At 40.1% G+C, this 27327-nt stretch overlaps 1 protein-coding gene and 1 long non-coding RNA gene across 25 annotated transcripts in view, besides 5 other annotated features; one reads left to right on the plus strand and one right to left on the minus strand.

The window, feature by feature from the left end:
* TCF12-DT (TCF12 divergent transcript) overlaps positions 1-16688 on the minus strand; it is a 32330-nt gene extending 15642 nt beyond the window's left edge. Inside the window, exons 1-2 of the long non-coding RNA NR_015419.2 lie at positions 15729-16688; positions 15254-15401 (exon numbers count right to left, since the gene is read on the minus strand). This is a non-coding gene — a long non-coding RNA (TCF12 divergent transcript). The remainder of the gene's footprint in view (positions 1-15253; positions 15402-15728) is intronic.
* Positions 15993-16132: a silencer, noted in NCBI's record as "silent region_6468". NCBI's record gives its function as "represses an Ori minimal core promoter by ATAC-STARR-seq in GM12878 lymphoblastoid cells {active_cell/tissue: GM12878}" and the evidence as "EXISTENCE:reporter gene assay evidence [ECO:0000049][PMID:35858748]".
* TCF12 (transcription factor 12) overlaps positions 16279-27327 on the plus strand; it is a 373221-nt gene continuing 362172 nt past the window's right edge. For 17 of the 24 annotated variants that reach the window (XM_011521960.4, XM_047432971.1, XM_047432972.1 and 14 more), the window contains exons 1-3: positions 16833-17095; positions 18081-18177; positions 19215-19287. In XM_011521960.4, the coding sequence (XP_011520262.1) occupies positions 18103-18177; positions 19215-19287 (148 nt within the window). In that variant the 5' untranslated portion in view covers positions 16833-17095; positions 18081-18102. Of the gene's footprint in view, positions 16546-16832; positions 17096-17275; positions 17418-17633; positions 18178-19214; positions 19288-27327 lie in introns of those variants that run through there. The other 7 variants (NM_207036.2, NM_207038.2, NM_001322162.2 and 4 more) reach the window with 4 other exon arrangements.
* Positions 16653-16782: a silencer, noted in NCBI's record as "silent region_6469". NCBI's record gives its function as "represses an Ori minimal core promoter by ATAC-STARR-seq in GM12878 lymphoblastoid cells {active_cell/tissue: GM12878}" and the evidence as "EXISTENCE:reporter gene assay evidence [ECO:0000049][PMID:35858748]".
* Positions 16953-17002: a silencer, noted in NCBI's record as "silent region_6470". NCBI's record gives its function as "represses an Ori minimal core promoter by ATAC-STARR-seq in GM12878 lymphoblastoid cells {active_cell/tissue: GM12878}" and the evidence as "EXISTENCE:reporter gene assay evidence [ECO:0000049][PMID:35858748]".
* Positions 17093-17382: a silencer, noted in NCBI's record as "silent region_6471". NCBI's record gives its function as "represses an Ori minimal core promoter by ATAC-STARR-seq in GM12878 lymphoblastoid cells {active_cell/tissue: GM12878}" and the evidence as "EXISTENCE:reporter gene assay evidence [ECO:0000049][PMID:35858748]".
* Positions 17433-17872: a silencer, noted in NCBI's record as "silent region_6472". NCBI's record gives its function as "represses an Ori minimal core promoter by ATAC-STARR-seq in GM12878 lymphoblastoid cells {active_cell/tissue: GM12878}" and the evidence as "EXISTENCE:reporter gene assay evidence [ECO:0000049][PMID:35858748]".

The raw sequence follows: 27327 nt of genomic DNA on the forward strand, positions 1-27327 counted from the left end.
CTATAATCCCAGCATTTTGGGAGGCTGAGATTGGAGGATTGCTTGTGCCCGGAAGTTCAAGATCAGCCTGGAAAACATAATCAGACCTGATCTGTACAAATAAAAAAAAAATTACCCAGGCGTGGTGGCTTGTGTCTATAGTCCCAGCTACTTGGGAGGCTGAAGTGGGAGGATTGCTTGAGCCCAGGAGGTCGAGGCTACATTGAGCCCTGATTGCACCACTGCACTCCAGCTAGGGTGACAGAACAAGACCCTGTTTCAAAAACAGAAAAAGAAAGAAAGAAAGGAAGGAAGGAAGGAATAAAGAAGGAGGGAGGGAGGAAGGAAGGAAGGAAGGAAGGAAGGAAGGAATTCACACTATGGAAAGTCCTATAGGACAAACAACTCAATTTTGCCTCAACAAATCCAATAAAAGAGAAGGAGGGAGAAGCAAAAGATTAAGAGGCTTAAGACACATATCAAATAATACAACATGTGGACTTTATTTGGATCTCAATTTTGAACAAATTAACTATAATAAACATGAGACAATTGGGAGAAATCCGAACACTGAATACTTGACGATATTAAAACATTTAAATGAAAACTGTGAGATGTTACAATGATATTGTCATTATATTTTTTACAAGTGTCCTTATCTTTTAGATGTAAATGAAGAAACATTTGTGAATGAAATAATTTGATGTTTGTTTCAAATTAATCTGGAGGTAGAAATGTTTCAATAAATGTTGAAGCTGGGTGGAGTTTCAAAGGGGTTCATTATACTGTTCTTTCTACTTTTTTATGTGTTTGAAAATTTTCCTAAAATAATGAGTTTATAAACTTGTATTGAGAGCATAATCTTAAGTTTGTAATATATATTATGTATGTATACACATGCATGTACATAAACAAAGATTAGAAAAGAGAGGAAACACACCAAAAAATCTTTAGGTTGTCTCCTTACGATGATATTATAAATGAAATTTACATTCTTTCTTATTCTTATTTCTTTCTTCTTTTTTATTTAGGGAAAATAGATTTTAAGAGGCACAAGATCCAGTTATTTTCAACTCTTTAACCTTGACAAATAATGAAGACCAGAAAAAAATTTTCTCAACTACTAGAAGTTGTCTTTATGCAGTGGAACTATATGAAATTTTATTTCAGTTTTTTACATTTCTGTATTTTTCCATTTTTAATATAAAGGGACATCATTTTAGGATTCAGAAATCCAACAAACATTAAATCTAAAGGGACAATTAATTTATGAAGGATAAACAAAATTATTTATGTATACAAGATTTTTAAAAAATACAGGTGCAGGCTTGGTGTGGTGGCTCACACCTGTAATCCCAGCACTTTGGGAGGCCGAGGCAGGTGGATCATCTGAGGTCAGGAATTTGAGACCATCTTGGCCAACATGGCAAAACCCCATCTCTACTAAAAAAAATACAAAACATGAGCATGGAATGTTCTTCATTTGTTTGTGTCCTCTTTTATTTCATTGAGCAGTGGTATGCAGTTCTCCTTGAAGAGGTCCTTCACATCCCTTGTAAGTTGGATTCCTAGGTATTTTATTCTCTTTGAAGCAGTTGTGAATGGGAGTTCACTCATGATTTGGCTCTCTGTCTGTTATTGGTGTATAAGAATTCTTGTGATTTTTGCACATTGATTTTGTATCCTGAGACTTTGCTGAAGTTGCTTATCAGCTTAAGGAGATTTTGGGCTGAGACGATGGGGTTTTCTAAATATACAATCATGTCATCTGCAAACAGGGACAATTTGACTTCCTCTTTTCCTAATTGAATACCCTTTATTTCTTTTTCCTGCCTGATTGCCCTGGCCAAAACTTCCAACACTATGTTGAATAGGAGTGGTGAGAGAGGGCATCCCTATCTTGTGCCAGTTTTCAAAGGGAATGCTTCCAGTTTTTGCCCATTCAGTATGATATTGGGTGTGGGTTTGTCATAGATAGCTCTTATTATTTTGAGATATGTCTCATCAACACGTAATTTATTGAGAGTTTTTAGCATGAAGGGCTATTAATTTTGTCAAAGGCCTATGCTGCATCTGTTGAGATAATCATGCGGTTTTTGTCTTTGGTGCTGTTTATATGCTGGATTACGTTTATTGATTTGCATATGTTGAACTAGCCTTGCGTTCCAGGGATGAAGCCCACTTGATTACAGTGGATAAGCTTTTTGATGTGCTGCTGGATTCGGTTTGCCAGTATTTTATTATGGATTTTTGCATCGATGTTCATAGGAAGAATCAATATCATGAAAATGGCCACACTGCCCAAGGTAATTTATAGATTCAATGCCATCCTCATCAAGCTACCAATGACTTTCTTCACAGAATTGGAAAAAACCACTTTAAAGTTCATATGGAACCGAAAAAGAGCCCGCATAGCTGAGACAATCCTAAGTCAAAAGAACAAAGCTGGAGGCATCACGCTTCCTGACTTCAAACTATACTACAAGGCTACAGTAACCAAAACAGCATGGTACTGGTACCAAAACAGAGATATAGACCAATGGAACAGAATAGAGGCCTCAGAAATAATACCACACATCTACAACCATCTGATCTTTGACAAACCTGAGAAAAACAAGAAATGGGGAAAGGATTCACTATTTAATAAATGGTGCTGGGAAAACTGGCTAGCCATGGGTAGGAAGCTGAAACTGGATCCCTTCCTTACACCTTATACAAAAATTAATTCAAGATAAATTAAAGACTTAAATGTTAGACCTAAAACCATAAAAACCCTAGAAGAAAACCTAGGCAATACCATTCAGGATATAGGCATGGGCAAGCACTTCATGTCTAAAACACCAAAAGCAATGGCAACAAAAGCCAAAATTGACAAATGGGATCTAATTAAACTAAAGAGCTTCTGCACAGCAAAAGAAACTACCATCAGAGTGAATAGGCAACCTACAGAATGGGAGAAAATTTTTGCAATCTACCCATCTGACAAAGGGCTAATATCCAGAATCTACAAAGAACTCAAACAAATTTACAAGAAAAAAACAAACAACCCCATCAAAAAGTGGGCGAAGGATATGAACAGACACTTCTCAAAAGAAGACATTGACGCAGCCAACAGACACATGAAAAAATGCTCATCATGACTGGCCATCAGAGAAATGCAAATCAAAACCACAAGGAGATACCATCTCACACCAGTTAGAATGGCAATCATTAAAAAGTCAGGAAATAACAGGTGCTGGAGAGGATGTGGAGAAATAGGAACACTTTTACACTGTTGGTGGGACTGTAAACTAGTTCAACCATTGTGGAAGACGGCATGGTGATTCCTCAAGGATCTAGTACTAGAAATACCATTTGACCCAGCCATCCCACCACTGGGTATATACCCAAAGGATTATAAATCATGCTGCTATAAAGACATATGCACACGTATGTTTATTGTGGCACTATTCACAATAGCAAAGACTTGGAACCAACCCAAATGTCCATCAATGATAGATTGCATTAAGAAAATGTGGCACATATACAACATGGAATACTATGCAGCCATAAAAAATGATGAGTTCATGTCCTTTGTAGGGACATGGATGAAGCTGGAATCCATCATTCTCAGCAAACTATCACAAGGACAAAAAAACAAACACCACATGTTCTCACTCATAGATGGGAATTGAACAATGAGAACACTTGGACACAGGAAGGTGAACATCGCTCACCGGGACCTGTCGTGGGGCTGGGGGAGTGGGGAGGGATAGCATTAGGAGATATACCTAATGTAAATGATGAGTTAATGGGTGCAGCACACCAACATAGCACATGTATACATATGTAACAAACCTGCACGTTGTGCACATGTACCCTAGAACTTAAAGTATAATAAAAAAAAAAAAGAAAGTTCTGCTTTAATAAAGACATCAAAAAAAAAAAAAAACATTAGCTGGGCGTGGTGGCACATGCCTGTAATCCTGGCTATTTAGGAGGCTGAGGCAGGAGACTTGCTTGAACTCAGGAGGCAGAGATTGCAGTGAGTCGAGATCGTGTCATTGCACTCTAATTTGGGCAAAAGAGTGAGACTCTGTCTCAAGAGAAACAAACAAACAAACAAGAAAAAACAAAAAAAATACAGGTGTAAGAAACATTATTTACATTTTACATGCCTGTTTGGCAGATTAACACTAAGGCAAGGATGGCAAAACAAATCAGAGAACTTTTGATTCAACAAATGAATGCAATGAAGCTACATTTCTAAGAAAACTGTATTATTTGGCTAAAAGGGAAATTAAGCACTGGACTAAGAGTATAGAGAAGGGCTGGCAAAGGAAACCAGGAAGGGGAAAAACCAAAGGGTAAATTTCAGAGTGTTTCAGAGAATCACTGGTTGGTTAAATCAGAGAAACTGAATTTTACTATCAAATGTAAGAAAGAGTAAGTTCAGAAAGAGATTATGCTTTTATGGTTTCATAGCCTACTTTTTTCTCCGTAACATCGATATAAGCCTTTTCCAATTGTAGGAAAAACTTTCTAAATTTCATTAAAAAAAACACGGTTAAAAAAATGCCATAGATTTGAAAATTCTCTTGATCTACCATAATATGTTATTAATTCCTCCTCACTGGATATCTATTTTTAAATCTTATAAACATAATGCTTTTCTTTACAAATAAAACTTTTCCCCTATTTTCCTGAAAGTAGAAATTTTTTGTAAGTAGAATCACTAGGTCGAGAGTATGAGCATTTAGAAGGCTCTTGAGATATACTGAATAGTTGCTTTCCATAGTGGTTTTGGCTAATTATTAATTTACTAATTCCTAATCTACATTCAATCCAGCAGTGTTTATGGGTGCCTATAGCTGCATATTCACCGGCATTGATCATCATGCTTTTTAAAATATCCATGCTAATTTGGCAGTTGTAACATGGGATCTCATTTTACTTGCATATCCTTGATGGGTACTCACATTAACTATTTTAAAGCTGTCTTTAATGAATATTCTGTTATGTACTTTGTCTTAAAATGTAAATCTTTTGAACTGTCTACTGTGTCTAGATCTTTGTTTCTATTTGATTGACAGAATAAACAATGAACCCACTTAGACATATTGACTAAAAGAGTCAGGTTTTAAGAACATTGCACTGGCATCTTTGAAATGCAGAGAACAAGTTCCCACTTGAGCATATGTGTTCCTCCCCACCCCCACTGTTTTACCTATTACTTCATGCTAATCATCCTAATGTTTCAGATAGTTCTTTTAAGTCCCCTACGTGTGTACCTAGCTGCAAATCAGTTCAATTTACAGATGGAGCAAAAAAACAACATGGATGTTATTGATGGGCCAGCCACATTCTTGTGCTTTGTCCTTCTGGGACCAATACCTTTTGAGGTGGTCAGGAACAGAAGACTGATCTGTGTGAAGAGACCCTTGCTTCTCTGAGAGAAGTTAACGGATCCTTTGGGGATAAGCCTATGATTTTGATTTCTCATTAGCATCGTGAGCTTCATTCAAGTGTGACTGACAGTCACACAAGTCAATACAGGAGCACTTTGGGAGAGCCAAGGTAGAGTTTTTTCTTATAGACTAACGCTTCTGTTCTTAGAGGGTTCATTGGAAAAACAAATCAGAGCACTTTTGATTCAACAAATGAATGTAATGAAGCTACATTTCTAAGAAAACTGCATTATTTGGCTAAAAGGGAAATAAAATACTAAATCCCTTGTTCAAATAAAAATGTTACTGAAGTAAATGAAAGTATATTCTAGATGATTATTAATGCTTTCATTTTCACTTTCTTTAATTCTATTTTAAGTCATATCTAAAGACTAAATGCAACTCAGATTTAGAAAGCAAAGAAAATTTATATATTTGGCAGTTTTAATCCCACCAAGCATACTTTATGAAAACTTGAATAATGTCAAGATGGAACATATCAGATCATTAGAAATAGAGTGGAAGAGGGTAGCCAAAGACCCAGGAAATAATGAGCAAATCTCAACCACTATTTTCCTCAGCTTTCGTTCCCAATTCCAGAGGAAGTTGATATCCCTCCATGTAAAAGATGTTTAAAATATTCAATGGCATTCTTTCATTGTGCTACTGAACACAGTTTGAAGGTTTAAGGTGAACATTTAAGCTTAACGTTTAAAGATTAGAAACAATTAAAAAAAAAAAAACTCCAATAGGCTTATAATGCAAATGAATAGGAAAATTATACTAAGACATCTCAAATTTAAAGAAGAATGTCCCAATCACAAAAACTTAATGTGTAATTGCATAAAAATGCCAGTGGAGTGAAATTAGAAATTCAACAGATGATCCCCAAATAAAATATTTCTGCATATATAAGAACAATTGTTCCCTAACTCTTCTTAAATAAAAGTGTCAATAATTAAGTGCAATTTAAATCATCTAATCCAAATCAATCAATTCATTTTTATGAAATCACCCAGGGGAATCAAGACAAGGTAACTTTCACTGAAAATACAATTTCTCATTTAATTAATAAACAATTACTGAGAGATTATTGGCATTAGAAGGAAGACACATTTATTAATAAGAAAAAATAAATACAATATAAACCTTTACCCTTGAAGAACTCCTGGTTGAAGGAAACTGATCATATGCAACTAAGAATTTGAGAATACTGACCATGATTTTTTGATGAATGTTCAAATAGACAACAGATTGACTATTATAATAGATTGAATTTGCCTAAGATGCCAGTGACTTGTAAGAAAACATTTACAAGATCTGACATGTGGTGAGAGCTGAACTTGGTGTCACATAGTGTCCTTTTTCTGGACTTTTCACCAGTAATAACTTTTGCTTTTAGCAACTATTTAAAAATGGTTAATTTAACCAGCCTGGGCAATATAGTGAGAACTCGCTACACAAAATACAAAAATTAGCTGGGCATGGTGGCGCATGCCTGTGGTTCCATCTACTTGGGAGGCTGAGGCAGGAGGATTGCTTGAGCCCAGGAGTTAGAAGCTGCAGTGAGCCATGATTGCACCACTGTACTCCAGCCTGGGCAACAGAGCAAGATCCTGTCTCAAAGAAAAAAAAAAAGGTTAATTTAAATGCATTTTTATTCCTTTTAGCGTTGCTGTATTTTGTTAAGTACATCTCTCCAATAGTCTTTATCTATTCAAGGTATCTACTCTGGTAGCCCGACTTAGGTTCATCTTAATTTTCCTGAGCTGTTAAGGACCTCACAGGGCCACTACTCTAAAGATATTGTTTCTCAAACTTTAGTGGGCATCAGAATCACAGGGAGGGCTTGTTAAAAAATAGGTTGCAGCAGGGCGCGGGGGCTCACACCTGTAATCCCAGCACTTTGGGAAGCCTAGACGGGCGGATCACAAGGTCAAGAGATTGAGACCATCCTGGCCAACATGGTGAAACCCTGTCTCTACTAAAAATACAAAGATTAGCCAGGTATGGTGGCATGCGCCTGTAGTCCCAGCTACTCGGGAGGCTGAGGCAGGAGAATCTCTTGAACCCAGGAGGGGAGGTTGCAGTGAGCTGAGATTGGGCCACTGCACTCTAGCGTGAGTGACAGAGCGAGACTCCGTCTAGTCTCAAAAAACAAACAAACAAAAATAGGTTGCTAGCCCAACCCTCAGAATTTCTGGAATGGAGTTCTACTCACTGAGTAGGTCTTGAATGGAGCCCCAAAATTTGGATTTCTAATTAGTTGCCAGGTGATAGTAATACTACTCATCCAAGAATCACAATATGAGAACCACTGTTCTAAGTGATATCTATTTGCTTGTTTTCAGAAGTAAGATAGTTGAGATCACAAGAAGAGTTGAGGAAACCAAGAAAGAATTTTCTTATTCCCATGAAAATCTCAGGCCTAGTTCTGTGTATTCATGTATTCAGCGCCATCTTTTCCCTTCTGCAGGGTTCTGGTATTGGGTGTCTTTTTTTTTTTTCTTTTTCTTTTTCTTTTTTTTTTTGAGACGGAGTTTCGCTCTTGTCTCCCAGACTGGAGTGCAATGGCGCAATCTCGGCTCACTGAAACCTCTGCCTCCTGGGTCCAAGTGATTCTCCTGCCTCGGCCTCCTGAGTGGCTGGGATTACAGGCACCCACCATCAGCATTTTGCTGCCCGATTCTTAAATATTACACACAGCCAACGAATATCAGAAGTTTGAGGGAAGTCTCTCTTGTGGGAGAGAGAAATTGAAATAACAAAAAGTGAATTGGTGAAAACAGAGACTAAAGAAGGAAAATAAAACTATATACAGTTAGACATATTTACTATTTCTAGAGTTACATGTGAGATACATACATATATATGTAGTCAGGAGAAAGTTGCAACCATGAAACAAAAGCAGACAGAATAATTTTTTTTAAAAAGAAGAAATAGTGTTCAGGATATTAAAAAAAGAGCCTTAGGATTGAAAATAGGAGGCTGGGCATGGTGGCCCATGCCTGTAATCCTAACATTTTGGGAGGCCGAGGTGGATGGATTTCCTGAGCTCAGGAGTTTGGGACCAGCCTGGGCAAAACCAGTGAAATCCTGTATCTACTTAAAAAAATAAAAATAAAAATAAAGAAAAAGCAAAAGAAAAGAAAATAGAAAAGTAGAAATGAAAAAAAAAAGATTAGAAAAGAAAATTAAGGAAATTTAAGCAGAAAGACAGAGAAGACCAGTTCAAGAAGTTCAGAATTCAAATAGTAAGAGCTCAGAAAAAAAAAAAGTAAATGAAATAATCTAAGAAAAATTCTCTGAATTGAAGTATAAATTACCAAATTGAATGAATTCATCAAGTGGACACCACAATGGATAAAAATAGATCTACACCAAAGTCTGTGATCAGGAAATCTGAATACACAGCAGACAAAGAGAAGACCTTTAAGCTTCCAGACAGGACACAAAAGAAGACAAATAGAAAGGACTGAAAGTAAAAAATGGAATCCATTGTTTTACAACAACATTGGAAGCAAGCGGGCAATGGAACGAGACTTTCAAAGATTCTTTTTTTTTTTTTTTGAGACGGAGTCTCGCTCTGTCACCCAGGTTGGAGTGCAGTGGCTATCATAAGTGCAGTCACAGCACACTACAGCCTCCAATTCCTGGGCTCAAGCAATCCTCCCACCTCAGCCTTCAGCATAGCTGGGACAAGAAATGTGCACCACCACGCCCACCTTCCAATATGCACATTTCTAATAGCTAGCTCTCACGTTACTCACTAGAATGAGAGAAGCATTCCAAACACTAAATACTTTTTGGAATGCATCCCTGCCACGTATTTGAAAAGGCAGGTGCAGACCCGGTGAGGTGGCTCACACTGGTAATCCCAGCACTTTGGGCGGCTGAGGTGGGCGGATCACCTGAGGTCAGGAGTTCAAGACCAGCCTGGCCAACAACCGCATCTCTACTAAAAATACAAAAAAATTAGCCAGGCTTGGTGGTAGGCGCCTGTAATCCCAGCTGCTTAGGAGGCTGAGGCAAGAGAATTGCTTGAACCTGGGAGTCAGAGGTTGCAGTGAGCCGAGACTGCACCACTGCACTCCAGCCTGGGTGACAGAGTGGGATTCTGTGTCAAAAAAAAAAAAGAAAAGGAAAGAAAAGCCAGGTGCCTAGGAACTAAGCCAACAAACAGAACTTATTCTAAATCTGAAAAAAGACTAGATTTCTTATTCTGCTCTACCCATTTAACCTGTCCTTGTTTGGAATTTAAAAGTTTGAAAACTGATGTTGAGTACCAACAGGGACTGAAGACAACCCATTAGAATGTAAGCTCCATGGAGACAGGATTTTTTTTTCTAGTTTTTCATTAGTATAGTCCAAGCATAGAAGACAGTTCTGGCACAAAGTATGTACTTAATATATATTTATTCAATTGATGAAAAACTGAAAGAATAAATTAATGGCAGAGGCAGTCAGGAGTCTACAAAATAGCAGCTGAATTTATAAGGACTCAAGCTTTTGAAAAATTAAATTAAATCATCATTCATAACTTTCTACTGACCACCTTTACAACCAAACCTGCAAAAGAATGGTAGTGGATATTTGTCATAGTCCAAGATGATGAATGACCATCATCTTTTTAAACAACTTTTTTTTTTTTTTGAGACAAAGTCTCACTCTGTCACCCAGGGCAGACTGCAGTAGTGCAAACACAGCTCACTGCAGATTCAGCCTCCTGGGCTCCAACAATCCTCTCGCCTCAGCCTCCCAGATACCTGCAACCACAGGTGCATGCTACCATATCCAGCTAAATTTTAAAAATTTTTTGTAGAGATGGGGTCTTGCCATGTTGCCCAGGCTGGTTTCAAACTCGTGGGCTCAAGCAATCCTCCCCTTGGCCTCCCAAAGTACTGGGATTACAGGTGTGGGCCACTATGTTAAACAACCATACTACATTAAAGGACTTTTTTTGTGGTATTAAAGGACATGCTCAAGCGATTCTCCTGCCTCAGTCTCCTGAGTAGCTGGGACTACAGGCATCTGCCATCATGCCCAGCTAATTTTAAAATTTTTTGTAGAGACAGGGTTTCCCTGTTTCTCAGGCTGGTCTTGAACTCCTGGGCCCAAGCCATTCACCCACCTCGGCCTCCCAAAGTGCTGGAATCACAGGCATAAGCCACTGCATCCAACAATTCTTTTAACAACAGCTATCCTTTCCCTATTCTCATCATATGACTGGCAAGTCACCAAATACTTAAGTTTTTAGTCTGTACAAGTTTTACTTTACTGGCAAAAGGGAGGATTTTTTCAGGTGCTTTGATGTGGTAAGTATTCTTTGCTTTTTGATTTTTTTCTTAGAGCATCTATTTTGGAAATAATTAATCCTTAATCTGTGGGAGTAGCCTACACAAATCTCTAAATATGTAAGCTGACTTCCATCATGCCATTACAAGCACATGAGTCCGGCACTCCTTCCTTAAAAAGGTACCCAATATGGCCAGGCGCAGTGGCTCACACCGGTAATCCCAGCATTTTGGGAAGCCGAGGTGGGCAGATCACCTGAGGTCAGGAGTTCGTGACCAACCTGGACAACATGGCAAAACCCCGTCTCTATTAAAAATACAAAAAATTAGACGGGCGTGGTGGCGGGCGCCTATAATCCCAGCTATTCAGGAGGCTGGGACATGATAATCGCTTGAACTTGGTGGGTGGAGGTTGCAGTGAGCCGAGATTGCGCCGTTGCACTTCAGCCTGCAACAGAGCGTGACACTGTCTAAAACAAAAAACAAAAAACAAACAAAACATTTGGGGGACCAGGTGCAGTGGCTCACGCCTGTAATTCCAGCACTTAGGGAGGCTGAGGCAGGCAGATCACCTGAGCCCAGGAGTTTGAGACCAGCCTGGGCAACATGGTGAAACTCTGTCTCTACAAAAAAATACAAAAATTAGCTGGGTATGGTGGTGTGCGCCTGTGATGCTAGCTACTCAGGAGGCTGAGGTTGGAGGATTCCTTGAGCCCAGAAGGTCGAGGCTGCAGTGAGCCGTGACTGCACTACTGTACTCTAGCCTGAGCGACAGAGCAAAATCCTGTCTGAAAAAAAAATTGTTTTGAAAATTTCATTACTGATGTCTTAGTGTGGTTTTGGGAAGGAACAAAATTTGGAGCATGTGTTCAACTGCCATCTCTACCTAGAAGTGAATAACAATTCATTTCTCAACACATGTTTTTTGAGCAATTTACTACTTGCTAGGCACTGTGCCAAGATACACACAGAAATATGGAAAAAGGTTATTAATTCATTTTTTCTGATTAACTCTACTAAGTTAAAAAAATGGAAATATCTCTCCAAGTTTGATGCTCTAGATTGTTTAGCAGTTTTTTTCCTTTCCTGGCCTCTGAATTTGTCTCGATTTTGGTGTAAATGTGTGTTTTTATAAAATATGAAAGGAGATTCTAAAGGGGAAAAAGATACTGAGTGTAAAAGATATTGAGTGACAATTGGGGGGGGCATGTCCTCATATCTGAATATAGCATTCATATAAGCCATCTAAGTGTCTTAAATAGTGGATAAAAATGATATTGGCAAGGAGTAGAGAACTATTTTTATCTATCAACATTCAGAGGGAAAAGACGAAATCTCTACCAGGAAATACCACAACAGTGGGAGGTTCTTGCTGGCTGGTGGAAAAGAATGCGGAGAGTAGATGGTTGGTCATTAGTAGAATTTGGCTCATGAGAGAGTAAAAAGTCTTGGCTTTTAGTTCATCAATGATGGTAGTGCCATGAACTGAGGATAATACTTATTAAACTCACTGTTACATAAATTATCCCTGTTAGTCACAAGGGGACAGTTATTCTCCTTTTCTCTTTTCTGAGACAGTTTCATTCCCATTGCCCAGGCTGGAGCGCAATGGTGCAATCTTGGCTCACTGCAGCCTCCGCCTCCCGGGCTCAAGCAATCCTCCTGCCTCAGCCTCCCAAGTAACTGAGACTACAGGCGCATGCGACCATGCCCAGCTATTTTTTGTATTTTTTGTAGAGACAGGGTTTCTCCATATTGCCCAGGCTGGTCTGAAACTCCTGGGCTCAAGCAATCCGCCAGCCTCAGCCTCCCAAAGTGCTGGGATTATGGGCATAAGCCACTGCACCTGGCCAGTTATTCTCCTATAGAGCAGAAAGCTACCATACGGTCTACTAGCCGTCAACCTCGGATCTTAGTGGATAACGTTAGGAGGCCAGTCACTTCATCCGGAGAGTAATTTACTACCCCCGCTAAACACCTGACTTGATTCTCTTCTCTCTCTCCTTCTCCTCTTAGCTTCCTAGAATACTTGTCTTCTAAAAAGGGTCCAAGGTTAAGTCAATCTGCCAAGGAAGCAAAAAGCCCATTGCTTTAGCTACTTTTCCTTTTGACTATAAAGGTTTCTCTGGGCAACTCTGGTGTCCCATAAAATATGCATGTGTGTTCAAGGATGAAGTGTGTGTGTTGTGTGTGTGGGGAGGCTGAAACCATGTTGACAGAATTCCTGTGTCTGTCCAGTAGTGGATTACAGTGAATGGACAGTGAACTAAGCTCTATTAGATTGCTGGGCATCGTGGCTCATGCCTATAATCCCAGCACTTTGGGAGGCTTGAGGTGAGAGGAGCACTTGAGCACAGGAGTTTGAGACCAGCCTGGGCTATATAGTGATACCTTGTCTCTATGAAGAAAAATTTAAAAATTAGCCAGGCGTGGTGGCATGCACCTGTAGTCTCAGGTATTTCAGAGGCTGAGGTGGGAGGATCACCTAATCCCAGGAGGCAAACGTGCAGTGAGCTGAGATTGTGCCACAGCACTTTAATCTGAGCAATAGAGTGAGACTCTGTCTCAAAAAAAAAAATCTATTAGATTATAACTTTCTTGAGGGCAGTATGGGTTTTAGACTTTCTGTCCTGAAACATTTAACACCATGCCCGGCATGTGAGAAATGCACATTAAATACTTTTCAATATTAACTTATCGATAGGGATTAACTTATACTACACAAATAGTACTATTAATTAACACTGAATTTGTATTACTTAGTTGTTTCTCTCTGAGCTTTTCAATAAAGGCTTCTGGCCCTATCTAGATGTGTCAGCAAAGGCCCAGAAATGAGTTATAAGTGATACAAAACTCCACTTTTTATATTCTTTTTGTCTTCTATATAAGTCAGAGCTATTATAGGAGATTCACTGGTGGGAATCATTTTCTCTTATTAAAAATGACACAAGCAAAGGCTATATTATGAAAAATAACTTCATGTTATAATGTCAAATGAATGATAGCTTTAATTCCAGCTCCTCCTTTTTGGGTCTACTATGCTCTTGGCACTACGTTAGGTGCATGGTACTGACAGATGCATGTCAGTCCGAACCCTCAAGGGGTTCACAATCTAATAAGGAAAATAAATTATAAAGTAAAACTATACGGGCCATAATAGATATGAAAAACTTCACCAATCAGTCCCTAAGTAATGAGGGAGCCCCTATGACTGAAGGTTTGGGCAGACAGATATTCTTCCTCTGCACTAGTTGTGTGAGCAGGATGAGAAGAGAATCTTGAAAACAGCATGAATCCAACATGTGGGATCACATACCTTCTCCTTCTGCAAGATTTCTTTCCAGTTTTACTGTGGAGTCATAGAATCTTATCACAGTGCTATGGTTTCAATGTGTCTCCCAAAGTTCATGTGTTGACAACTTAACCCCCAATGCAAAAGTGTTGAGAAGTGAGACCTTTAAGAGAAACTTCTAAGAGGGTAGAGCCCTCATGAATGGATTACTCTCTATTGTGTGTGCTCACTTGCCACGGGATAACACGGCAAGAAGGCCCTCTAAAGATGCCAGTGCCATGCTCTTGGACTTACCGGGCTCCAGAACCATGAGCCAAATAAACTTCTTTATAAATCACTCAGTCTATGGTATTCTGTTAGCAGTAGGAGAAAATGAACTAAAACACATGGGAATGGGGCCTTAAAAATGATCTAATCAGACTTCCTACCTGACGTTTATGTCTTTGCTACTAAAAAAATGGTCATTGGGGTGGTACTGTGTAGACCACACTAGATTACAGACAACAGAAAATTCGAATCCTATTGGTCTAATCAGTGAAGATAGACCTGAATTCAGAAGTTGCTTGATTCAGAGCCTCAAAAATGTCACCAAAGCCAGGCACGGTGGCTCACGCCTGTAATCCCAGCCCTTTGGGAGCCTGAGGAGGGCAGATCACTTGAGGTCAGGAATTCCAGACCAGCCTGGCCAACATGGTGAAACCACGACTCTACTAAAAAAATAAAAAATTAGTTGGGCATGGTGGCGCGCACCTGTAATCCCTGCTATTTGGGAGGCTGAGGCAGGAGAATCGCTTGAACCTGGGAGGCGGAGGTTGCAGTGAGCCGAGATCCTGCCACCACACTCCAGCCTGGTGACAGAGCCAGACTACATCTCAAAAAAAAAAAAAAAAAAAGTCACCAAAGATCAGATCTCTATGCATGTTTGTTTTCTTGATGTCTTCTTTATTTTAACCCGGCTAGACTTGTATTTGGAAGATGGCTACCCACCATCCAGGGGACCCGTTTTTTTGAGGACATGCAGAAAGAATGGGTTACCTCTGAAGCGCTCTCAGAAAATGAAAGAAAAACTTTTCCCAACAAAGACCAGGAAATTGCTCCTCTCATTGGCCCAAATATGTTACGCTCATTGCCAGCCAATAACTGTGGCAGGGAATGGGATTCTGCTGATTTAGGTTGGAATTATGCTACGTTGCTTAGATTGGGACCACATGCCCCTGTAAGTAGGCAGAGCAGGGATGTGACTCAGAACTGGGCTTGTTTACCAAGATAAGGAAGAGTGGATACTGGGGAGTCTAGGCCACCATAAGTTTCAGGTACAGCCAATGCAAAGCCTTGGAAATCCACCTGACAGCTCCGGTTGTACCGTCCGCCCTCCGTATCTGGGGTTTCCAAATTCCGGGATTCAATCAACTGAAAACAAAAAATGTAGTTAGGCTTACCAGGCCTGAAAATACATGAAAATATAGAGCCTAAAATATAGCCTGAAAATGTACTGAAAATATAGAGATTTCTTTGGATGATTATTTCCTAAATACACCTTAACAACTATTCACATAGCATTTGCATTGTATTAGGTTTTATAAGTAATCTAGATATGATTTAAAGTATATGGGGAAACACACCATTTTTATGTAAGAGACTTGAACATCTTAGAAAATCCAGAGTCTGGGAACCAATCCCACGGATATAGAGACAACTGTACTAACTACAGTAATGGCATATGGTAGCTGAATCTACCTCTCTTTCCATCCCAGTCCGGAATCCAAAGGCTCCTTCTTGCCATGTTGTCCTCGGGCGTTGGCTGCTTCCTCCCATTTGTTACTTTGGAAGTGTCTTCTTTCCTCAGTGTTTCTTCTGCGTGGGCCTTACCGGTCTTTACTGCACTCACTTACCTAAGAGGCAAAACAATGGCTGCCATTCAAGAAAATCTCACTTCAGCCCAGAATCGAAGAACTGGGGCTTATTTTGTCTTCTTTCTACTCTGGGGCTTCTCTGAGGCCAAGTTCAGAACTTGTGCACAAGACAGTGGCTGTGTGACAGAGCCACCCAGGGCTGTCTCCGTTAGATGAAGAGACTGGCTTGATCCATTCCCAAGAACTAGTCCCACGTGCAGTTCGGTTGCTCCGAATGGGATTTGGGTGCGAGGGGCTGACTGGAGATGTGGGGTCTGGGTGAGTGGGGTATTTGAGAACCTGAAGCTCACAAGGCTTTGTCTGGTTTGAGGTACGTTTTGCCCTTTCTCCCGCATTCGGCTCTGCATCGAATCTGACCGGCCGCGCCTACTCTCGGAACGGCCGAGGAGGATGGGTCTCCCGTCTCCACACGCGCGGTGTCTGCGCCGACTGCAGCCCTCCTGGACGGGAGCCTCTGGGCCCAGCTTAGGGTGGCGTCCAGCGTGACCTACTCGGGAATGGCAGCCTTCAGTGTCCTGCGGCCTCGGGTTCCGGGAAGCTCGGGGACCTGGGCAGCGGATCCAGATGCTTCCACAGCTGTGTCTCCGTCGCTCCGCTTCGGGGGCCGAGAACCAGCAAGACCAACGCGAGGAGGCGCCACGGTACCTGCCACCCCGCTCCCAGGAGGCCCGGACGAGGCTTCGTCGGCGAGCGGTCGGGGCCTGCTTCTCGAGGTGCCTGCGAGCGCCTCATGCCCCTCCCCACCGGCCCCAACTCCGTCCCGCCTCACCCGACCGCGGGCTTTGTCCACCCGCCGCGGTGCGGCTCCTCCCAGTCCCCGACAGCTCCTCCCCGCCCCCTCTGCCGGCCCCACTTCCTAGGCGGCGGAGCGGGTCGGGGAGGGAAGGGTTAACCCGCGGCTCTTCCCGGCGCGGAGGGATCCGGAGGCGAGCCGAGCGCGGTGGTGAGGCCGCCTCAGCGAAAAAAATGTCCGCCTGAAGAGACCCACAAGTTCTATTCGGGGGGACCGACAGCCCGCCCCGGGAGGAAGGGGCGGCCAGGCCCGAAAGCCGCCTCCCCCTCCCAGACCCGAGAGCTCGTGCGGGGCAAAGTGAACCGAGCCGCTGGGCGGTGCAAGGGGAAGCCCAAGCCCGTTCTCCCGGCCAAAGTGAACTTTAATCGGGGTGGTTGGATGCGGAGACGGGGCGGCAGGTAATTGCGGGCTAGCGAGCGGGAGTGGGGCGGCGCGGCGGGGCTGGGGGCTGCGGGGCGCCGCCGCGTCCCTGCCGGAGTGGGGGCGCCCCCGTCCCCCGCCTCAACTCCGCGCCCCTTTGTACAGCGCGAAACCCGGGGTCCCCTCCAAGTTGGGGAGCGGAGTGGGGGCGGAGGCTCGAGTCGCGGGCGCTCAGGCCCGCTGGCGGCGCGCTCGGCCTGTGCGCCCCGTTCGGTGCCCGACTCGGGCCGGCGCCCAGGCTCCGGGGCGCGCGGGAGATCGGGCGGCTTCGGCCGCGGAGCCAGGCTCATTGTTCGGCAGGTCCGGGGCAGGGCAGCAAAAGTGGGAGGAGGCCGAGCCTGGGGAGGAGGACGCCGGCCGAGAGCGAGACTAGTTGTCGGGGTTTCTGTTTTCTGTTTAAAAACGCCCCTTGGATGAGCTGGGGGTGCTTTCCGACCTCCTGGGCCCGCCGGGGACGTCCGGGCGGCGGCGGCCGCAGACGCGGGCCTGCGAGCGGCGCGTTCCCTGCAACTTGTCAGTTCTATTGTTGCCGAGCGAGTGAGTCACTTCGCATCTCCGCTCGCCGCCGCTCCGCTCGCTGGACGCCGAATTGCCCCTCACCCCGCTCCTCGAGACCCCAGCCGCGGCCGGGCCCGGCGCGCGGAGCACCCGGCGGCGGCGCGGAGCAGGGGGCGCCGAGGAGGTGGCAGAGACTGGCTCGGAAACTTGGGGGAGAGGCGGCGAGTTGCGGGAGCCGCCGCGTCGATCTCGGGCCGCGGCGAGGAACGCGTGGATTCCGGGACCCGGCGCGGGCACTGAGCCCTCCCGCCCCTTGCTCGCGCCGCGGTGGGAGCGAGTCGGGGTCCTGGAAGTCATCCCGGCGCCCCCAGCGCTCTTGCGTAATCTTCCCCAGTACCTCTCTCTGTTCCCTCACACACTTTGGGCCTCGGTGGTCTCTCGCTGAGCCCGTTTCCTCTGCCCTAGGACCTGCTAGAAGTGGCCGAAGATGAATCCCCAGCAACAACGCATGGCCGCTATAGGGACCGACAAGGAGCTGAGCGACCTACTGGACTTCAGTGCGGTATGAGAGCTTTCCATGGCATCTTGGGGTTCTGCTGAGGTTTTTGTTTGTTTGTTTGTTTGTTTCTTTTAAATAAAGGGTGAGGGGAAGCAACGTGGAGACTAGGCAGCGTGAACTCCATCTGCTTTCTGCTTAAGCAGTAGTTCTCAGGGCTGGAGTCCAGCTCCCCCAAGTTGGACACCTGAACTTTGATGTAATGTCTAGACTTGCACATTTAAAACTTTAATGCCAGAGGGGTCATTTGATTTAACCAGTTAAAAGGAGAACAATGTAATTATGACCTTTGGTTGAGTCACCCTCCCACCGCGATGATTATTGGGGATCTTGTACTTTATATGAAAAAGTGTTGTTTTTTTCTTCAGTACTCCTCACCATTTTCCTCTCCAGTATCAGATGTAGTTTATGGTACCTGAAAGATGTCAGCGACAAGAAAAGTAGTCCAGAGCTAGAATTTCGAGCCTTCTGAAACAGAGTACTTTTATTTTATACACACACACACGTGTGTGTGTGTGTGTGTGTGTATTATGTTCTTAACATGGGAAATGACTTAAAAACATCAACTGAAACCTAAGGGCCCACTGCTTTTATTTTTAATGGGTTTAATTCCTTTATTAACTGCTGTTAGGAGGCAGCACCTATACCTGCTTTATACAATTCAGTTATAATCCTTACTGTATGTAGTAATTTAATGGGCCATAATTCTGACTGTGTATATTGAGATATAATGTAAATGTAATGAAATTCACTTAGTTCTGCAGTAAAGATCATGTGTAATACTATACTGTTTAAACTTAATAATCTTGGACTCTTCCATGTAAATGATCGGGTCTTCAGAACAAAATGTAACCATTATTTCCAATTAATTAGGAAATAGTATCATTCAGTGTATTTGCCTCTCTGGATCTGAATGTATCTCCAATTTTATTTTAACTTCCCTCTGAAATTTAATAACTGATGGATGACTTTTGGTGGACTTTTGTTTGCAAGGAATCTAGAAGAATTTCAGGACTAACAGATATATTTGGGTTATTTTGCAGATGTTTTCCCCACCTGTTAATAGTGGGAAAACTAGACCAACTACACTGGGAAGCAGTCAATTCAGTGGATCAGGTAAGATGATGTCTTAAACTAAAGACTCATATTTTGGTGGTGTGATACATTTTAGTAGAAAAATAGAAAGCATAACATTTAAATATTATTGAATATATGTATATAAAAGATGGAATTGAGTCAAGTGATAATTAGTAAGATTTATTAATTTTAAAAGATGACAGTTCCCTCAGAAATCTGTAGGAAATCAGTAGTTTCGTTTACAATTATTTAAAATGTTAGTGGGGTAAATTTTCAAAATGAATAGAAACTTAGATTTATTTTTAAATGATAAGTATTAGATGACTGAATCCTTTCCTATATCCAGATTACATTATGATAATGTTTAGAGTAAGTTAAAGTAGATCTACACACTAGTGATCTTGTCTTTAAATTTACTTTCAATACATTTATGACTACTGTGCTCCATTTTAAAACATCCCATTTTTCTTAAGTATGCATTTTTTCTTTTTTTAACTTTTAAAAACTCATAATTTAAAAATATTTTAGAAGGAAGGTCCATTCCAGTGTGCAAAAGCTGTAACTTTTTATTTAATTTAAATTTATTTCTTTGTGCTTAAGAGATGAAAAAAATAACTAAAGCCATGACAGCATCATCTTAAGAAAACCAACTGTCAAATCTCTGGGCTGAAACTCAGTAATGCCTCTTTGATGGGTGCTTTTTATTTCCCCTGGTAAAATGATAGTTGGTTTCTTAAAATACTGTGAGAATAAAACATCAGAAAATAAGGTTAATTTCATAACCACCTAAACACTTTATACCACTTTACATTCTAAAAAGTTTGTTTTTAAAAATTGTATACTAATTTATTAAAATTCATTTTTAATTATGAAATTAGAGCTTATGGGGAAAGTATAGCATGTCCTTAATCATCTTAAGTAAGTGAAATGAAGGCATTTTTTGGATTTTAAGTAGGGTAAAGACTAGTATTATTCTTGATCAAAAGGACATCATGAAACGATAGGCAAGTCCCAACTCTTCTCTCACCTCCTTCCTTTTACTGGTAATCATTTGAAAATTGTTACTTTTTGGGGAGGGGGGAGAAAATTTAATAATCTTAAAGTTGTAGAAGATGGCTGTATTTCTTTACTGGTGTTGATACATCTCATTTTTGCAACTAATAATTCATTCTCAGGAACCTTCAGATTTACTTTGACTAATACATAGTAGATGATGCTTAGTATTTTTTAAAAATGAGTCTTGATATTACTGTTGCCTACTGTTCCAGCTTAAGTTATGGTAAATATATATAACTGGACAGTCACTGATACAATAACATGAACTCCAGGAACTTGCTGTTAGAAGTGCATTCTATTTTTAGAATAAAGGCAATTACATTTATTTCACTTTTTAAACTTAAGAAGGATTTATGTAGTCTGTGAAATTAAAAAGTATGTGAACTGGGATATAGATTATAAGCATGGCATTGGAGCAATTTTTGGACTTCAGTACGTTGCATTGCACAAAGAAAAAATTATTTTTCTACATTGCGAATGGTCACCATATTTGATTATTTGGAGTAGGAACTTTTAGTTTTAAAAGTTAGATTTGTTATCCATTGAAAGGTTTGAACTTACACACCTGTAGTCAGTGGACTTAGCAATATTTATCTGTGTGTTTTGTTTTAAATGCTACAAAAAATTGTAATAAAAAAGCTGTGACTTTTAATTAGTGAATGGATTTGAATTTGGGGAAGAGAAAATGCCATGTGATTTTTTTTCAAATCAAGATGTACTGGTAGATATAATTTTTCTGTGGCCAGTTCTTAAAGGGAATGTCTAAAAGAAATTGGTATAGTAACATTATTTTACTTATATATTTTATATTTATATACCTTATTGACATTTGAATAACCTTCTGCCCTGATTTCAAAGGATATTATGTAATACACTCTAATGCCTATGTATTTGCAGCTATTAAGGAGCTAAAGATCTGACTTTCCTTTTGAAGAGCTGCTGTAGTAAAGATTAGGGTTTTTTGTTTGTTTTCTGTTTTGTCTTTGGAGTAACATTTATAAAAACTACATGCCATTTGACTTATGAAAACTAGAGTTTATAGTCAGGTATTGTAATTTCCTTTCTTATTTGTCCTTTTTGAGGAAGACTCAATTTCACAGTGGGCTGTTTTTGAGAAACGATATATAATACTTTCAGAAGCTTTTTTAGCTGAAAGAATATATACTATAGCATGTGATGTTATCTTTAATCTTATTCCTGAAGCAAAACAAATAACTCATCATGGCTGAGTTATTTATGAGTGTCGGAAGTCACTCTGGAAAAGATAAAGGTGTGTTTACTACTACTAATTTGTCTTGAGGATCTGTTATGTTATTCCTTCATCAGGGTGTTAAAATTTTCTTCACGTTATGGTGAGAGTGAATTTGTTCACTTGGTATGATAGGCTCTGTGAAGTGTTCCTAAAGTGACCTTGAGAGAAACTTTTCTTTCTGTAGGAGTGAAAGGTCAGGCACTCTAATTAGGGCAGTGTATAGAAACAAAGGGCAGTGTATAGAAGGAAAGTTGGTTAAAAGGATTGACAAAATGGAAATGGTTCAGATGTTTAAATCCATGTCCTCAACTTCGGGGTTTGAGTGTGTATGTCTAGATTGTGATTTTGGGTTAGTTTTTAGTAGATTGTTTGTATGATATCTGAAAATTTCCTTTGTTTTTGAATCCAAGTAGTAAGGGATGTTGTCATTTTGTAAGCCATCTGTAGATATTGAGCATCTCTCTGGTGTTTCTATCTAGAATGTCATTTTAACTATTAAGTAAAGCTTCACTTTTTCTTATTGAATTCAGACGTTTGTAACAGTATAGTTTCTTTTTGCCCAAAATTTTCAGAGATAATTGTAGGAAGTATTTTCTGGCTCTTAATTTTTAAAAAGGAATACAGTTTTTCATTTTTCAGTTACTGATCTTTTTTTGTGGGGCGGGGGGTTATTTTTAGATGTACTTACAGGCTTTTTGAAAATATTGACATAGGGCCAGAAAAATGAATTCTCATTAAATTACTCTTCAGTATTTCTATTTTTAGATAGTTGTAGATTCATATGCAGTTGTAAGAAACTATACAGAGATTCTATATACCCTTTACCCAGTTTCCTGCAATAATAGCACCTTGAAAAATTAGTACAGTATCACAACTAGGTTATTGATAGTGATACAGTCAAGATGCAAAAACTGTTCTGTCACCACAGGAATTCTTGGTGTTGGCCTTTTGTAACTGCATCCACTTTTCAAGTAATTAAAAAAATGGTAAGATTACTAAATGCCTTCTTTCTCTGTTAAACGTGGAGTAAGCTTTTCAAATTGCTGTAGCATTACTTGAACATATCAAGAACAAAATCAAGAGAAAACCAAAATTGTACCACTGTAGGTTTTTACTGAACTGTGATAGAAATAGGAATGGTGATTTTAGAGAGGAAACCAGGTTTGACCTTTCACTTAAGGTATTTTAAGGTTATGAGTAGGGTGTGGTTCATATTATGTACATATTAGTGTTGAAATTTATAATAGCTATAATTTGTAGTAAATACATACTTGTTAATATTGAGCCATGTTAGACATTTGTTTCAGGTAAGCTGTAGTTATTAATGAGAGTAACCACAGAGTCAGCAGGTGTGTGGGGAAAAATATATTTTAGGACAAATATGGTCTGCTATTAAGTTGCTCATTTAAGGTAAAAGGTAGCAAGGGAGTCTTTTAGAGAAAACCTGTTTATGAAAACTCATACTTGGAAAACATAAAAATTAGAGACAAGATTACAACCATGAGTATTGTATACTTTTCAGGACAATTCCTGAACAATTGAAAAACAAGGTCGGGTGTGGTGGCTCATGCCTGTAATCCCAGCACTTTGGGAGGCCGAGGTGGGTGGATCACATGAGGTCAGGAGTTTGAGACCAGCCTGGCCAACATGGTGAAACCCTATTTCTACTAATAATACAAAAACTTGCTGGGTGTGATGGTGGGCACCTGTAATCCCAGCTACTCAGGAGGCTGGGGTGGGAGAATTGCTTGAACCTGGGAGGCAGAGGTTGCAGTGACCTGAGATGGCGCAGCCAGTGTACTCCAGTCTTGGCAACAGAATGAGACTCTGTCTCCAAAAACAAAAAAAAACCACAAACAAATGGTGTCCACCGCCCCCCCACCCCCCCGCCCCAACCCCGTAGTCATTGCTTATAATGGATTTGAAAAACAATTTGATTAGATCACAACATTTTAGGGGCTTGTTTATTATATATAGTGAGGCATACCTACAATTACTGTTTTTGTTTTCATTAGCCATTTAAACACAAATTCAAGTTTCTGTCTTCAAGGTATCCTTTGCTATATCTTTGAGTTTTTAAACAAGCCTTTTGAAATGAGAAGATAAAGATGAAGATATCCAACCTTGACTATAAACAACTTTCAAATTTTATACTTAATTGGGCAATAAACAATGCTGTCTTATTAAAGCCATATAGTCTTTTCTGCTCTTAAACAATTGGTAGTCTTTTCCTGGAATGTCATTGTCTGCCTAGTGTTGTCAAAGACTTGGGTAATCTTGCTGAAAGAAAGTAAAAGTAGCACTATTAGAAAGGCTCTCCTGAAAAAGAAAAAGAAGTGCTATTTGTGGACAATGTGTGGAATGCCTTTTTAAAAGATCATTTAATAAGACTGCTTTTGGGTATCACTTGAAAGTATGTTTATGGATGGGAATGTTGAAATTGCAAATCTAAATTGTTTGTGTTTAGGGAAGATAATGAGAAGACAAACACTTAAATATATTCAAAAGACTAATGAATGACAGTCTGCTTTGTTAAATAGTTGTGCCATAAGTATCTCATTTTTATCAGTTAACTATTTAGTATTTACCTATGCATTCTTCTAGCAGTTTTTGGGAAGATGGGAAATGGAGAAGGTCATTGCTCAGAAAAAGTGGAGACATTTCGTTGGCGTGGTGGCTCACGCCTGTAATCACAGCGTTTTGGGAGGCTGAGGCAGGCAGATCACTTGAGGCCAGGAGTTGGAGACCAGCCTGGCCAACGTAGCAAAACCCTGTCTCTACCAAAAATACACAGAATTAGCCAGGTGTTGTGGCTCATGCCTGTAGTCCCAGCTACTGGGGAGGCTGAGGCAGGAGAATTGCTTGAACCCAGGAGGCAGAGGTTACAGTGAGCCGAGATTGTGCCACGGCACTCCAGCCTGGGTGACAGAGGGAGACTCTGTCTCAAAAAAAAAAAAACAGTGGAGAAATTTATTATTTTGATGGGAAGTAAAATACTGAGGTAAACTTCTCTAACATAGAAAATGTCAACAAACACACATTATTGTAGTTTAAATTGAGTCCATAAGAAAGAGGCTGTGCTGAAGAGTCAGGGAACTGGCTTAAGGAAAACTCAAAAATGTTGAGTTTAGAGTTGACTTGTGATGGAGATATGGACAATGAATTAGGGAAGAGAAGAACTGGTCTTACAGCTGAGGAATAGCATGAGGAGAGACCTGGAAATGGGAATTTAGCTTGATCCAAGGGCCTGTACAGTTCAGAGAGAGAGAAGCTGGTTTTTATTAATCACCACTCCTTAATTCCTGGGGGAGCTCATATTTACATATTATTATCTGGAGCTGGACTACAGGTGTTCAGATCCAGAAATTACCAGTGAATAGCACAGTGATCTTGGGTATGTTCCTTTACTTGTCTGCTTCTGTTTCTTAATCTATAAAACAGGACTAATAATAGTCGTTATCCTTATAAGGTTGTTAGGAGTGTTCAATGAGTTAATACATGTAAAGTTCCAAGAATAGTGCCTAGCACATAGTTAGCTGTGGTGGAGTAAATTGTTAGTGGTGAGACACTAAAATAAGGAAGGCATTTATTTACTTTGGAGGCCTTTATGCTAATCTAGGATGAGCTGGTGAAGGGTTAGATTTGGTGTTAGTGTAGGGAATAGGAAGGAAAAATAACAGAAGTAAAGGATTGTTAGAATTTGAGGGATTGGCTTTCTGTAGGTAAGAGAAATGACTCAAGATTGCAGTTCTGACATAATTGGAGGATAGTAGTGCTGGAGGTAGTAAAGATGCTGAATTGTTTTTTGCATTTTATATTTCACATGACCTGGGACTCTTCTGGCTAATTTGGAGATGTATGAGGGAAGCATGCTCGGTAAAGATGTTGGTTAAAAAGAAGACCGTCTTTTTTCTGCATATAAAGTTAATACATAGTCATAATTGAAAAGAAAATTAGAGAACAGAAAAAGCAAAAGGGGAAAAATTAGCTTTATTTCAGTATCCAGAGAAAATTGATTTATTTCCTTTTTGTCTTTTTTTCTTATAGTTCCGTTTGCAAAGCTGGTAACTTAATGTTAGTTCATTTATGTCCTGTTTTTTGTTTCACTTAATCTTCTACCATTAACATTTTCTCCTGTTATTAACTTGGCTTAAAATAGTTGCATGCTCTTAAATGGAATGAATATAGCATAACTTAACAAATCCATTCTTTTATTACTTGACCTTTATGGATTTTTGTTAATTTGCTTTTTGATATGATAAATAATGTGGTACTGACCACCTTTTTGTGTATGTATATGTTTTTGCCCACATTCTGATTTCTTTTGGTTAGGAGATGCAAATTTTGTTTTTTGTGCCTACAAGTTAATAATTAAAACTAATGAATTCCCTTAGGGAAATGAACACAGAGGGAGATAAATTATCAGGCCAGGGATTGATGTTAATGGTGGAGTTACATGTATAAAATTAGTGACTTTGGTTGATTATTTAATGTAATAATACAAAATTTTATTAGTATGTGAATGGAATGCATTATGACATTTGGAGCACATTTGTGCTTGTATACAAATGTGTTGTGTGGTGACTGGAGGGAATTCCTGTCATTCTTTGACCTGTGCTTATAGAAATGGAGTGGAGTCTAATTGGAGTCTTGTCAGTGAGAGAGCCCTTGAATTCCTGACTTTTTGTGAGAGAGACAATATAGTGTATTGGAAAGAATTGGGCTCAGGAGCCAGACAACTGGATTGGAATCGATGACTTGCAGCTTACTAGCTGGATGGCCTTAGGTGAGATATTTAAATAATCAGAGCTATACTTTTTTCATTTGTGAAAAGTGGGTAATAATGCCCACCTACAGAATCCTTGTGAAGATTAAATAAGGTTATCTATATATTTTTTTCCTATAAAGCTGCTTAAAAAATGGTAGCTGCTATTATTGTGGTACCTTCTAACTAGCATTCTCGGTAATACTAGTGATTATATTAGAAATCATTATAAAGCCAGTATTATAGCTAGTGTTTATTGAACTCCTATTATATACTAGGCATTGTGATAAGCAATTTATGGGCATTATCTCATTTTACTTTGGATAAAATGAAATGTTTTGTCTGTGGTGTTGGAAGTGAGGCAATACCCCTACAAGAGCAACAAGTCAGAGTTGCTTTTAGTGCCATAAAATTGTGTATATGAAGTCTGAGAAGTAATCAGGCATACAAGTAGTTTTGAAAAGTCATGAAGTACCCAGGAACCTTAACTTTTCTTTTTTAGTTGATTTATTCTTAATGTTATTATTTTGTAGACTATACTTTGTAGAGTGCAGAATAATGAAGAGAATGTGTACACCTTTTGAAAATCCTTTTCCATGCTTAGGCATCACCGCCACTTGAATGTAGCATTTTGTCCATATTCTTTCTCCAGCTACTTGAAATTCTTTCTGGAGTGAGGCATAGTCTAAATAATTAAGTAAAATAAAAATTACTTGACTGGAAAGGATAGAACGCCTGGGAACAGGTTGGAGAGAATGTTAAGAGTCTCTAGGGTAGAACGTATTCACTTTTTTTCTTAATGGCAGAGAAGAAGGAACATAAACTCCCTTGGTAGCCTGAAGCAGCACGTTGCAAGTGAGTGGAAGAAATTGTATCTTAAAAATTCATGTACATTTTATTTTCTACTTGCTACCACAAACATATCTGTAGTAATTTAAATATGTTTTCATTAATCATTGAGTAAAACTGAAGTTCTAAAGTTGCATCATTTTTGGGTTATGGCATT

The sequence above is a fragment of the Homo sapiens genome, chromosome 15 (genome assembly GCF_000001405.40).
Source record: "Homo sapiens chromosome 15, GRCh38.p14 Primary Assembly".
NCBI lineage: Eukaryota > Metazoa > Chordata > Mammalia > Primates > Hominidae > Homo > Homo sapiens.